Source organism: Homo sapiens, chromosome 14 (genome assembly GCF_000001405.40).
Source record: "Homo sapiens chromosome 14, GRCh38.p14 Primary Assembly".
NCBI classification, from domain to species: domain Eukaryota; kingdom Metazoa; phylum Chordata; class Mammalia; order Primates; family Hominidae; genus Homo; species Homo sapiens.
Window position 1 is genome coordinate 103,317,283 of NC_000014.9, and position 12,850 is coordinate 103,330,132.

At 48.4% G+C, this 12,850-nt stretch overlaps 1 long non-coding RNA gene across 1 annotated transcript, besides 2 other annotated features; it reads left to right on the forward strand.

Annotated features, from left to right (window-relative positions):
* Position 1: 1 nt before the first annotated feature.
* LOC105378183 (uncharacterized) lies at positions 2-1,257 on the forward strand. Its single transcript, NR_135269.1, has 2 exons — positions 2-52; positions 968-1,257. It is a non-coding gene; the product is annotated as an uncharacterized LOC105378183 (long non-coding RNA).
* Positions 1,992-2,041: an enhancer, noted in NCBI's record as "active region_9099". NCBI's record gives its function as "activates an Ori minimal core promoter by ATAC-STARR-seq in GM12878 lymphoblastoid cells {active_cell/tissue: GM12878}" and the evidence as "EXISTENCE:reporter gene assay evidence [ECO:0000049][PMID:35858748]".
* Positions 2,062-2,151: an enhancer, noted in NCBI's record as "active region_9100". NCBI's record gives its function as "activates an Ori minimal core promoter by ATAC-STARR-seq in GM12878 lymphoblastoid cells {active_cell/tissue: GM12878}" and the evidence as "EXISTENCE:reporter gene assay evidence [ECO:0000049][PMID:35858748]".

Genomic DNA, 12,850 nt, shown 5'->3' on the forward strand with positions numbered 1-12,850 from the left:
TGTGTTTGCTGGATTAACGACAGGTCGATGCCAATACAGGACACCCCTGCAGGTGAGGATCCCCCTCCTCAATCTGATCCTGAGAAGACGCCTTCTCCGGCCCTTTGGTCCCACCCACCCTGACTCTCCCAGGTGAAAAGCAGCTGTTGGTGATATTTGCATGACTGTGCCAGCTGGAACTTTTACTGTAGGGCCGTTTCCTAAGATCATTTCCTAAGACTCTCTCACCACTCTGATGGGGACAGGAAACTGCTCTGGGCACAGCACTTGTGCGATCTCCAGCCACAAAAAGCCGTTAATCTGGCCAAGAGCAGAGGCTTGCGGGTGAAGGGAGTGGAGGGGCTGCTGAAGATGGAGATGGTGCTTAGTTTTTTTTGTGGGTAGAAGAGTGCAGAGAGGCCCCTGCTCATCCCAGGAGAATGAAGTAGGCTTTTTGTTCTAAAGGGCCAGGTCTCTAAAAGCAACGGATTATATTGTTCAGGCTGCGTCAGTGGTGTTTGTGTTTTCAAAAGCAATAGTGGGACGGGCGCAGTGGCTCATGCCTGTAATCCTAGCACTTTGGGAGGCCGAGGTGGGTAGATCATTTGAGGTCAGGAGTTCAAGACCAGCCTGGCTAACATGGTGAAACCCCATCTCTACTAAAAATACAAAAATTAGCCAGGCATGATGGCGGGCACCTGTAGTCCCAGGTACTTGGGAGGCTGAGACAGGAGAATCTCTTGAACCCAGGAGGTGGAGGTTGCAGTGAGCCGAGATTGCACCACTGCCCTTCAGCCTGGGCGACAGAGTAAGACTCTGTCTCAAAAAAAAAAAAAAAAAAGCAAGAGCAGAAAGCTACCAGGCAGTTGCAGGGGGCTCCCTAAAGCCAGCTTATAACCAGGAACCAAAAATAGGGCTTGGCACGAGGAGGGGAAGAGGGGTGTGTGTCTCAATGAGGGGAATGGCAACATCTCTTTGTGCTCTACAGGTTTAAAAAACAAAATGGCCAAGGCTCTCCCCAGGTGTCGATGGGGTGGGAGGCATGGCCCAACTCCTGAAGATGTCATGGCACAGTGGGCAGCCACCATGGGGAATCCGGCCGGGATGACAGAGACAGCCCTGCAGCACGGCACTGCTCATAGTGGGGCCAGGCCCTGGAGGAGTCTCCTGAAGCCACAAACATACATAGTCCGCACCCTCCCCTGCCCCAAACTCAGCGTGTAGCAGATCAACCTCTGTACTATCAGCCAAGCCAATACAACAAGCACAGTGATTGTGGACTACTCCCCAAGAACAAAACATCGAAGAACAGCCAAGCTAGCACGCTGGCTCACGCCTGTAATCCTAGCACTTTTCAAGGCCGAGGCAGGCGGATCCCTTGAGCCCAGGAGTTCGAGACCAGCCTTGGCAACATGATGAAACCCTGTTTCTACAAAAGGCACAAAAATTAGCTAGGCGTTGTGGGAGGATCACTTGAGCCAAGGAGGTAGAGTTTGCAGTGAGCCTTGATCGCACCCTGAACTCCAGCATGGGTAACAGAGCAAGACCCTGTCTCTAATAAATAAATAAATGAAAATAACAGCCATTCATCAGAACAGCCATTCATCAGAACAGCCATTCATCCCGGCTCTCAGCACCTCCAATCTGCACCCTGTACTGGTCAGCCCAAGCTATTCTAGAGAGTGCTACCCCACAAGTCTCCCTAAGCAGTCTGACCATAATTACAGCTAAAGATAGGTGCCTCTGATACTTCATATACTGTGCCAGGGGAATCCCACAATTTACTCACCTGGCACTGGCACCAACCCTCCCAGACGGGCACCATAACTGCCCCCATCCCACTGCTGAAAAACAGGCATAGAGAGACTAAGTAAGTGCTGGGGTTTACTCATCCAGTAAGCAGGAGCACAGGTTCAGACCCCAACCCCTCCTCACAGCCTTCCAGGGCTCCACCCCGCCCATGGTCTCACCACCCTTCCGGTCACTGCCACCCACCTGCCCCCTCCCGGGCATCCTCCACACTCCTCACTGTCCCCTCAATCCCTCCCCCAATACTCTTGGCCTCTGTTGGGTTTTCTCCCTTCTTTCCCTATCTTCCAGGGTACCTGACCCCAAAAAGCCCTTCCAGGCTCTCCCTAACCTGATGTGCCTCTTCATCCCTTGAACTCCCAAAGTCTCTCTCAATCTTTTGTCACCACAACTCACAGTTAGGGAAGAATTTTGCATGACAAACAGCACACACATTCAAATATGTAACTGAAACAGAACGTTTCCCAGAACGATACTGTACTTACCGTCACCAGATGCAAAGCACCCTGACCTACTCTGTGCTGCTTTTATTTTTAAAAATGTTTTGCTGCATAGAATGTGCGACACCAAGAGTGAGCCCGAATGTAGCATGGACCAGGTGGTTACAATGTGTCCATGTTGGGTCATCAGGGGCAATCAATGCGTTACCCAGGGAGACGCTGATAACAGGGCAGGCTCTGCATGTTGGGGGTGCTGGGGGCACTTGGGATAGTTTGTATCTTCCTCTCAATTTTGCTATGAACCTGGAACTGCTCTAAACTGCTCTAAAAAATAAGATCTTTTTTGTTTTTTGAGACAGAGTTTCACTCTTGTTGCCCAGGCTGGAGTACAATGGCAGGATCTCGGCTCACTGCAACCTCTGCCTCCCGGGTTCAAGTGATTCTCCTGCCTCAGCCTCCCCAGTAGCTGGGATTACAGGCACCCTCCACCATACCCGGCTGATTTTTGTATTTTTAGTAGAGACGGGGGTTTTGCCATGTAGGCCAGGCTGGTCTTGAACTCCTGACCTCAAGTGATCCACCCACCTCAACCTGCCAAAGTGCTGGGATTACAGGTGTAAGCCACCGCACCTGGCCAATAAATTTTTTTAAGAGATAGGGTCTTGCCCTATTGCCCAGGCTAAAGCTGGGCTGTTGCCCATTTCCTCCGTACTTCCTGATGCTCCTGTCTTTTGCTCTGGGGGCCAGGCCAAGTGCAGCTCACTGCAGCCTTGATCTCCAAGGCTCAAGAGATCCTCTTGCCTCAACCTCCCAAGTAGCTGGGACTACAGGCACACAACACCATGCCTGGCTAATTTTTGTGTTTTTTGTAGAGGTGAGGTTTCACTATGTTGACCAGGCTGGTCTTGAGCTTCTGGGCTGAAGCAATCCTCCTGCCTCTGCCTCCCAAAGTGCTGGATTACAGGTGTGAGCCGCTGCGCCTGGCCAAAAAAAAATTTAAATGCTCCTCTGGCCCCACTAAATTGATTGTACATCTTGGCTGCTCCCTGCAGTGTGGACATTCCCTAGAGAACTTGATCATTCTTTTGGGCAAGTTTTTTATTTTCTCATTCCACTTTATTTATTTATTTTTATTTGTATTTTTATTTTTTTTTGAGACAGAGTCTTACTCTGTTACCCAGGCTGGAGTGCAGTCTCCAGCTCTCCAGTGCGATCTCAGCTCACCGCAACCTCTGCCTCCCGGGTTCAAGCGATTCTCCTGTCTCAGCCTCCCAAGGAGCAGGGATTACTGGCATGTGCCACCACGCCCGGCTAATTTTTGTATTTTTAGTAGAGACGGGGTTTCACCATGTTGGCGAGGCTGGTCTCAAACTCCTGACCTCATGATCCACCCACCTCAGCCTCCCAAAGTGCTGGGATTACAGGCGTGAGCCACCATGCCCGGCCTGGAAAAAGGTATTTTGAAGCATAGTGCTGGCGAGCATGACATGCCTACAGAGGCCCTGCTCATCCCAGGCCTGCCAGTTTGTGCCCCGGGTTAGAGTTCTACTAAAACAATCTAAATTCTCACAGTACATGTTAATAACCTGAGAACCAAAGATAAAAATCCGTCTGTCTCAAGACGTGTAAAATTTCATAGAAGGCCAACAGAATCAGAGATACAATAATGTTCACAATAAATTCTTTAGACAATTTAATCCAAAGAACCAAATAAAAACACTGTCATTGCAATTTTAAAAGGCTCGTAGGCACATAGTATGCATATCAGAATTTCTGTTGAACATTGAATGCTGGGTTTTGTTGGGAGGTGGCAGCTATCATTAAAATAGAAAAGTACTAGGAGCTGACTTGATCTGGGCAGTAACACAAAATTAAACAAATGTATCTACGTTTAAAAAAAGATTCAAATTCAAACTTGGAAGGATACATTATCTGAAAATAAAAAATGTTTCTAGCTGGCAGGGAGGTAGAAGAGAGCCCTGAAAATAATTGTCTAACACCTGGATTCTAGACCAGCTCTTCCTAAAGCAGCCCATATATTAGTCATGGTTTCTCTTCTGAAAAATAGGGGTTGGGACCAAAAGGCCTTCCATGTCCCTTCTAGATCTAAGCATCTCTCACTCTAAAACAGAAATTGCAGGCTGGGTGCAGTGGCTCACGTCTGTAATCCTAGCATTTTAGGAGGCCAAAGCAAGCAAATCACCTGACCTCAGGAGTTCAATACCAAGACAATGTGATAAATACAAAAAATTAGCCAGGCATGGTGGTGCATGCCTGTAATACCAGCTACTTGGGAGGCTGAGGCACGAGAATCGCTTGAACCCAGGAGGCCGAAGTTGTAGTGAGCTGACATTGCACCTCTGCACCCCACCTTGGGAGACAGAGTAAGACTCTCTCAAAACAAACAAACAAACATATAAAAATTTAAAAATATATATATATACAAAATTAGCCAGGCATGGTGGCCCATGCCTGTAATCCCAGCTACTCGGGAGGCAGAAGCAAGAGAATCAATGGAACCTGGGAGGTGGAGGTTGCGCTGAGCCAAGATTGCACCATTGCACTCCAGCCTGAGCAACAAGAGTGAAACTCCATCTCAAAAAGTAATTAATTAATTAATTAATTAATTAAATTAAAAAGTGAAGCAGAAATTGCAAACCGGTGGCCCACTGGCCAGATAAAATCCGTCCAAGTTTTGTTTGCCCTGCATGGAGTTTTTGTTTTTTTCTAACTGAATATAAATGCCTCTAAATTGAGGCCCTCCGGTTTGCCACAATTACTGCTGTTCCTTATTGCCTTGCCCCAGCCTGCTTCCCACTTTGCCATCACCTGCTTGGCCCCTGAAGGACTCGGGCTTGGGACTGCCGTGCTATGGGGCTAAGAGATTTCCAGCACTGCACTTGTTCCCATTACCACTTAAACCCTACTGAAAGATGATCTCAATTTACTTTGGTTTCTACCTGCGTTGCTGAGCAAATTTCACAGCTTTACAATTTGGACAGGGGTGGGCACCCTGTAGAGTACTATCATTCCTATTATACAGGACACTAATAGCTCAAAATACAAAAGAGACTTGTTCAAAGTCACAGAGTTAGTAAGTCAGAGAGTTAAAATAATTTCTGTTTGCCAAGGAAAGTTTCAATTTGAAAAATCTGGAAATATACAAACCAAAAGCAAATTTCATATATACATGATTATAATTAATATTTATGGCATACATCATGTTTAATTGCAGAAATGTAATCATTTATATATTCACCATTTTGTATATATTTGCTTTTTTTTTTTTAAGAGATGTGGGTCTCACTCTGTTGCCCAGGTTGGAAATAAGTGGCTATTCACAGGCGTGATCATAACACGGCACAGCCTTGAACTGCTGTGCGTGCAAGTGGTCCTCTTGCCTCAGCCTCCCGAGTATCTGGGACTATAGGTGTGCAACGCCATGCCCAGCTTTTATGTTGCATATATTTGGATGTAGTCACTTAGGCTATTATTGTAGGGTAGTGGCTTTTTGTTATTGTGGTAAAATAATGGTTAAAGTTTACCATTTTAACCCTTTTCAAGTGTACAGTTCAGCGGCATTAAGTCTATTTACATTATTTTCAACTCTCACCAACATTCATCTCCAGAACTTTTTCATCTTGTAAAACTGAGACTCCGAAACATTGAACCATGACTCCCTCTAGCCCCTGCCCCAGCCTTTCTGTCTCTATGAATTTGCCTGCTCTGGGTACCTCATACTAATAGAATTCTATAGTAATTCTCCTTTTGAAACTGGCTTATTTCCCTTAGCTTAACGGATGAACCCCGAAGACATTATGCTAAAGGAAATAGACCAGTCATGGCTTTAAATTCTGACTGTGATTTTATCGCAGCAAAGGTGTGTGTTAAAAATGGCTATGAACTTTGTAGATGCCTAGCAAGAGAGCATGGAATGTGAATGACCCAGCCCGGAAGACTTCCTTCTGCATGAAATACCCAAACATACAAGTAGCCTTTATGAGCGAAACTAAAAAAAGGATTTCTGAGCACAGGCTCCTGGCACATAAAGCTCAGAATAGCTGAGCTTCACTTACCAACTATAACAGCACAAAATGTCACGCCGGGAATATTGAATGTGGGAGTTCAGTGCTCAAGGAAAAAAATCGCTCACCTAATTTAAGGAAACCCTAAATGAATCAATTTTTTTTTGTTGTTAAAAACTCTGTATTGCAACAGTCCCATCTGGTGCTAACTATATTTGCTTAGAGAAAGCAGTACCACAAAAGAAAGGTTATTTAGAGCATGCAATGGTTTCTGGATGGTTCTTCCATCTACTAGAGAACATGACAGAGACCTAAGAAATTGACCCTAAATATGGACATAAATTTGTGTAAACGTAAGGTTAGAAACATCACATTCTGGGCCGGGTGTGGTGGCTCACAGCTGTAATCCCAGCACTTTGGGAAGCCAAGGTGGGTGGATCACTTGAAGCCAGGAGTTGGAGACCAGCCTGGCCAACATGGTGAAACTCTCTACAAAAAATACAAAATACAAAATACAAAAATTAGCCAGGCGTGGTGACGCATGCCTGTAGTCCCAGCTACTTGGGAGGCTTCGATCACTTGGACCCAGGAGACAGAGGCTGCAATGAGTCTAGATCAAGCCATTACACAAGACCCTGTCAAAAAACAAACAAACAAACAAAAAAACAAACGGGCACAGTGGCTCATGCCTGTAATCCCAGCACTTTGGGAGGCCGACGCGGGCGGATCACAAGGTCAGGAGTTCGACACTCCTGACCAGGAGCCCAGCCAATATGGTGAAGCCCCTGTCTCTACTAAAAATACAAAAATTAGCTGGGCATGGTGGTGTGCACCTATAGTCCCAGCTACTCAGGAGGTTGAAGCAGGAGAATCACTGGAACCTGGGAGGCGGAGGTTGCAGTGAGCTGAGATTGTGCCACTGCACTCCAGCCTGGGCGACAGAGCGAGACTCCACCTAAAAAAAATAAAAATAAAAAAAGAAATATCACCTTCTGGGTCAAGAAGATAATCAGATTCGTTTTACCTTATACCAGAAGCCCTTGCTTCTGTACTGTCCGTCTCCTTGTAAGATGGTCACCCTGGGAAATTGGCAGGATAGCCTGTCCTACCTTGTGAGGGTATTTAAATGACGGCAGACTTGATTTCAGGAGAGTGACCAAAATATAGGTTAGTTTCCTGCTGTCCACATCACAAGAGAGGAGTCTGATGGGAAACAGAACGCAGCCTGCTGGGCTTTACCAGGAAACACACGCTGTTCATCTCTCAGGACCCAGCCTCCTGCCCGTATCCACACACCAGCTCTGCTCAAGTGATCCTCCTGCCTCAGCCTCCAGAGTAGCTGGGATTATAGGTGGGCAACACCGTGCCTGGTTTTTATTTTGCATATATTTGGATATAGTAACTTAGGTTTTAACTGTAGCCTCGGTCAAGCTGTATAACCCCTCTGTGCCTCAGTTTCCTCATCTGTGCAGAAGTGGAGCAGCAACAGAATCTCTGTCAGAGGACTGCTATTGTGGGGATCCAGTGATGAGTGTATCTGAAGCAACAAGGCCACCAAACCACAGCTGCCGCCGGGCACTGGCTGACGCTTTAGGAGTCTCCCAGAGTGGATGATGAGCAAGGGCCATGCTCTACATTTCGTGTGATTTGAAGTTTTTTTAAATCATGTCCCCAAAGCGATATGTTCTCTCACTAGACCCTCCAGAAGAAAAAACAAAACAAAACAGAATCTAATATGTTTAACACCTAACCCCAGGTACCTGTGAACGAGACCTTATTTGAAAATAGGGTTATTGCAGATTTAATTGAGTTACAATGTGGTCATGCTGGAATAGGGCAGGTCTTCAATTAAATATGTCTGGTGTCCTTATAAGAAGAGACACAGAGGCCGGGTGCGGTGGCGAGGTGGCTCACACCTGTAATCCCAACACTTTGGGAGGCCAAGGCGGGTGGATCATCTGAGGTCAGGAGTTCAAGACCAGCCTGGCCAAAATGGTGAAACCCCATCTCTACTAAAAATACAAAAATTAGCCAGGCGTGGTGGCGGGCGCCTGCAATCCCAGCTACTGAGGAGGCTGAGGCAGGAGAATCACTTGAACCTGGGAGGCAGAGGTTGCGGTGAGCCGAGATCGCATCACTGCACTCCAGCCTGGGCAACAAGCACGACACTCCATCTCAAAAAAAAAAAAAAAAAAAAAAAAGAGAGAGAGACACAGAGAGGAAAACGCCAAGTGAAGATACTTTACGCAAGGGCAATGAAACCAAGTGATGACAGAGGCGGATTTGGAGCTCTATGGCTGCAAGCTGAGAAACGCCAAAGACTGCCGGCAGCCACCAGATGCTGGAGAGTGCATGCAGTGGCCAACCCAAGGATTTTGTACCCTCTGGACTATGGAACTGTGAAAAAATGAATTTCTTTTTTTTTTTTTTTGAGACGGAATTTCACTCTGTCGCCCAGGCTGGAGTGCCGTGGCGTGATATCAGCTCACTGCACTCCAAGGTTCAAGCGATTCTCATGCCTCAGCCTCCCGAGTAGCTGGCATTACAGGCATCCACCACCACGCCTGGTTAATTTTTCTGTTTTTAGTAGAGATGGGGTTTCACCATGTTGGCCAGGCTGGTCTCAAACTCCTAAAGTGATCTGCCTGCCTCGGGCTCCCAAAGTGCTGAGATTACAGACATGAGCCACCGTGCCCAGCCAAAAACTAAAACTGAATTTCTGTTGTTTTAAGCCACACAGTTTCTGTTGCTTTGTTAACAATAGCCCTGGGAAACAATGTCTTAGCTGTTTAAATCCTCTAGGGCTGGCAGATAGAGGGCATGTGGTACATATCCATTGAATGAATGAATAAATGAGTAAAGATAAACACAGAGGTAAGGCAAGCAATGGGGAATAAATGATGGGGCAGATGTGGGTGCACACACACACCTGGAGGGGGAGAGCCCACACACACACCTGGAGGGGGACAGAGCACATGCACACCTGGAGGGGGACAGAGCCCACACACATACCTGGAGGGGGACAGAGCACATGCACACCTGGAGGGGGAGAGCCCAAACACACACCTGGAGGGGGACAGAGCACAGACACACCTGGAGGGGAATAGTGCATACCCACACCTGGAGGGGGGACACAGCACATGCACACCTGGAGGGGGACAGTGCCCACACACACCTGGAGGGGGACAGAGCCTACATACACACCTGGAGGGGGACAGAGCACACGCACACCTGGAGGGGAACACTGCACACCCATACCTGGAGGGAGACAGAGCCCACGCACACCTGGAGGGGGAGAGTACATGCACACCTGGAGGGGGACAGAGCCCATGCACACCTGGAGGGGGAGAGTACATGCACACCTGGAGGGGGACAGAGCCCAAGCACACCTGGAGGGGATACAGCCCACGCACACCTGGAGGGGGACAGAGCACACGTACACCTGGAGGGGGAGAGCACAAGCACACCTGGAGGGGGAGAGCACACGCGCACCTGGAGGGGAACACAGCACACGCACACCTGGAGGGGGACAGAGCACACGTACACCTGGAGGGGAGAGCACACGCACACCTGGAGGGGGAGAGCACACACACACCTGGAGGGGGACAGTGCACACGTACACCTGGAGGGGGAGAACACACGCACACCTGGAAGGGGAGAGCACACACACACACATGGATAGGGAGTCACTCGTTCTTTTCTATGAGCATTCAGTCCCCAACTTTGGGTCTAAAAGGTCAGCTGAAACTTGGCTCCTGGAAAATCTATCATGTCGGTATGTCCCAGAGTACAAGGGCTTCCGACTGTCCAAGGAACCAGAAATCTGAATTTTTAGGTGAAATCTTCCATGTTTTTCTTTTCTTTTTTTGAGACGGAGTCTCACACTGGCGCCCAGGCTATAGTGCAATGGCACGATCTTGGCTCACTGCAAGCTCAGCCTCCCGGATTCAAGCGATTCTCCTGCCTCAGCCTCCCGAGTAGCTGGGATTACAGGCACCCGCCACCACGCCCGGCTAATTTTTTGTATTTTTAGTAGAGATGGCGTTTCACCGTGTTAGCCAGGAAGGTCTCAATCTCCTGACCTCCACCCACCTTAGCCTCCCAAAGTGCTGCAATTACAGGTGTGAGCCACAATGCCCGGCCTAAAATCTTTCATATTTTTCAATGCTGTCTTACAAAAGAAGTCCCCACTCTGGGGTCCATTTGCATCTCCAGTGTCTGGCGCCCCCCGGGCAGGATATGCAGTGGCTAATGAAAATCTGTAGCATAAAGGAAAACGCATCCTCACAGGTCTGAAGACAGCACACCTGAGTGGATCTTCTGGGATAGTGTTAGCTATCAGGGTTATGACTTGGATCCTGCCTCCCCTCATGTGAAACTTTCAAAAGCACTGGAGTAAAGGAAATCCAGCTGAGGGAAGAGAGGCAAATCCCTGGGACCCAGATGCACCACACAGGACTATTAGTCCCTAGTCAGGGGGAAGAGCTCTGAAGCTGGGAATCAGGACACCTGACCCCCCAACTGGAGGCAAATCATCTCTCTGAGTCTCGGCTTCCTCGTCCATAAAATGAAGGAATAAAATGTATACTTGCCACCTCCCAAGGTGTGAGGAGGACAGTGAGAGAGCATGGGTGACGAGGCTTTGTCAGCACGGCAAGGCCATTGGCACCTTCCTAATTCTAACAGCCATGATCAGTCTAATGCCACTCCCATCACGTCGCCATTAGACCCGGGGACCACTTCTCCAACACACCCATTGGGGCAGAGATTTTGTTCTTCTTATCCACAGACTATCTAAATTAGGGCAGCTCGAATATCTCAAAAGAAAGCTGCTGAGACTATGCTGACGGGAAGAAGGGTATTTGGGTTCCAACATCATGGGCGTCCCCCAGTTTTAAGGCACAGGACAGTCCTGGGATCAGCAGCTCCTGCAACCCCTGAGAATTTGTCACTGGGGTGCTGTGTGTGTCTTCAATGTGACCAAGACAACACCAATCCAATATTGTAGGGCCTGCTCTGATCCATCCACATTTCTCTGTCATCTGCTACACGTAGGACGCTGCGCAGGCAGAATCAATGCCATTTTGTGTTTTTTTCTTTTTCCAGGAATGGGACAATGCAGGATGGCTGCTGGGTGGGATCACAGCTCCACACTTCGGAGGAGGAAGACTTTGTGTCAGTCTCCAGTGATCCCTCACCTGGACCCCTATCTTTCCTCAAACACCTCTGCTTCCTGCCTCTGTCCCTTTTGGAACTAAAGGCCTGTTCCTCAGCCAAAGTCCAGAATCCTTTCTTCTCAAGCATGAGTCCCCTGCCCTCCAGTTGCTTGGCCCAGTAAGGAAGTCAGAGAAGGAAACAGGCAACTGCAATCAAGTGACATGAATGCCAGTGGTGTGGCGTAGGTGCAGCCTAGCCATGGGATGGGCAGGTCACGAAGGCAGGGAGACATGCTGTTCAGAGCATCAGAGATTTCACGAAGGGCAAGCTTCAGTGGGGTGTCCAGCAAGCAGATATTTGCCTCTACTTGTTTACATGTGACCTCCTGGGCAGGGTCTGTGATGTAGGCGGGCCTGCACCCTCACTGCCTAGCACAGAATTATGTATTGATAGGGATGCACTAGATTACCATGGTTTAGGACACCAGCCCTCACGTCAGCCGATGCCTCTGTACTCACCAGATAACCTTCAGTTCCCTTCCAGCAGCTTCAAATGTCTGCTCTATGAACACCCCTGTGACTGGCTGGTGCTAGAAGAAAAATTATGCATATACCCTGTAGCTTGTCCTGAAGTAGGGGGGACAAGAACTTCAGTTAACAGTGTGCAGCTTTAAAAGTTGAGAGGTTGGGCACGGTGGCTCACACCTGTAATCCCAGCACTTTGGGAGGCCGAGATGGGCGGATCACCTGAGGCTGGGAGTTCGAGACCAGCATGACCAACATGGAGAAACCCCGTCTCTTACTAAAAATACAAAACTAGCCGGGCATGGTAGCAGGTGCCTGTAATCCCAGCTACTGAGGAGGCTGAGGCAGGCGAATCACTTGAACCCAGGAGGCAGAGGTTGCAAGAGCTGAGATCGTGCCATTGCATTCCAGCCTGGCAACGGAGCGAGACTCCATCTCAAAAAAAAAAGAAAAAAAAAAAGTTGAGAGGTGGGTGTCACAGAGGAGGACCACTGCCCCTCACAGTGTACAATATCTGAGTCCATTTGAGAGCTCACAGCTCAGAAACACAAGGCTCTCAGTCCATGCAGAGTTGATCTTGGTGGGGGGTGGGAGGGAGGGGACACTCATTCACATTCAACAGAGTCACAGCCAATGTGTAAACAACCAGAAGGCCAGTTTACCAATCTACCTTTCCAGCAGCTATTCCTGTCATCAGGGCATGCACTGAGGTGTGCAATTCATGCACTCATTCAGCAAGGTTTTGACAAGCACCAAGTGTCCATTAGTGCACGGACTGTGAGCACCTGACTGGGGAAAATAATGCAGCCAAATGAGGTGGAGATCCAGAAACGGGAAGTGGAATTGTGCAATGAGCTTGGCGTCACACAAGCTGGAGTTCAAACGCTGTCCATCATTTATTAGGGAGGCGACTTTG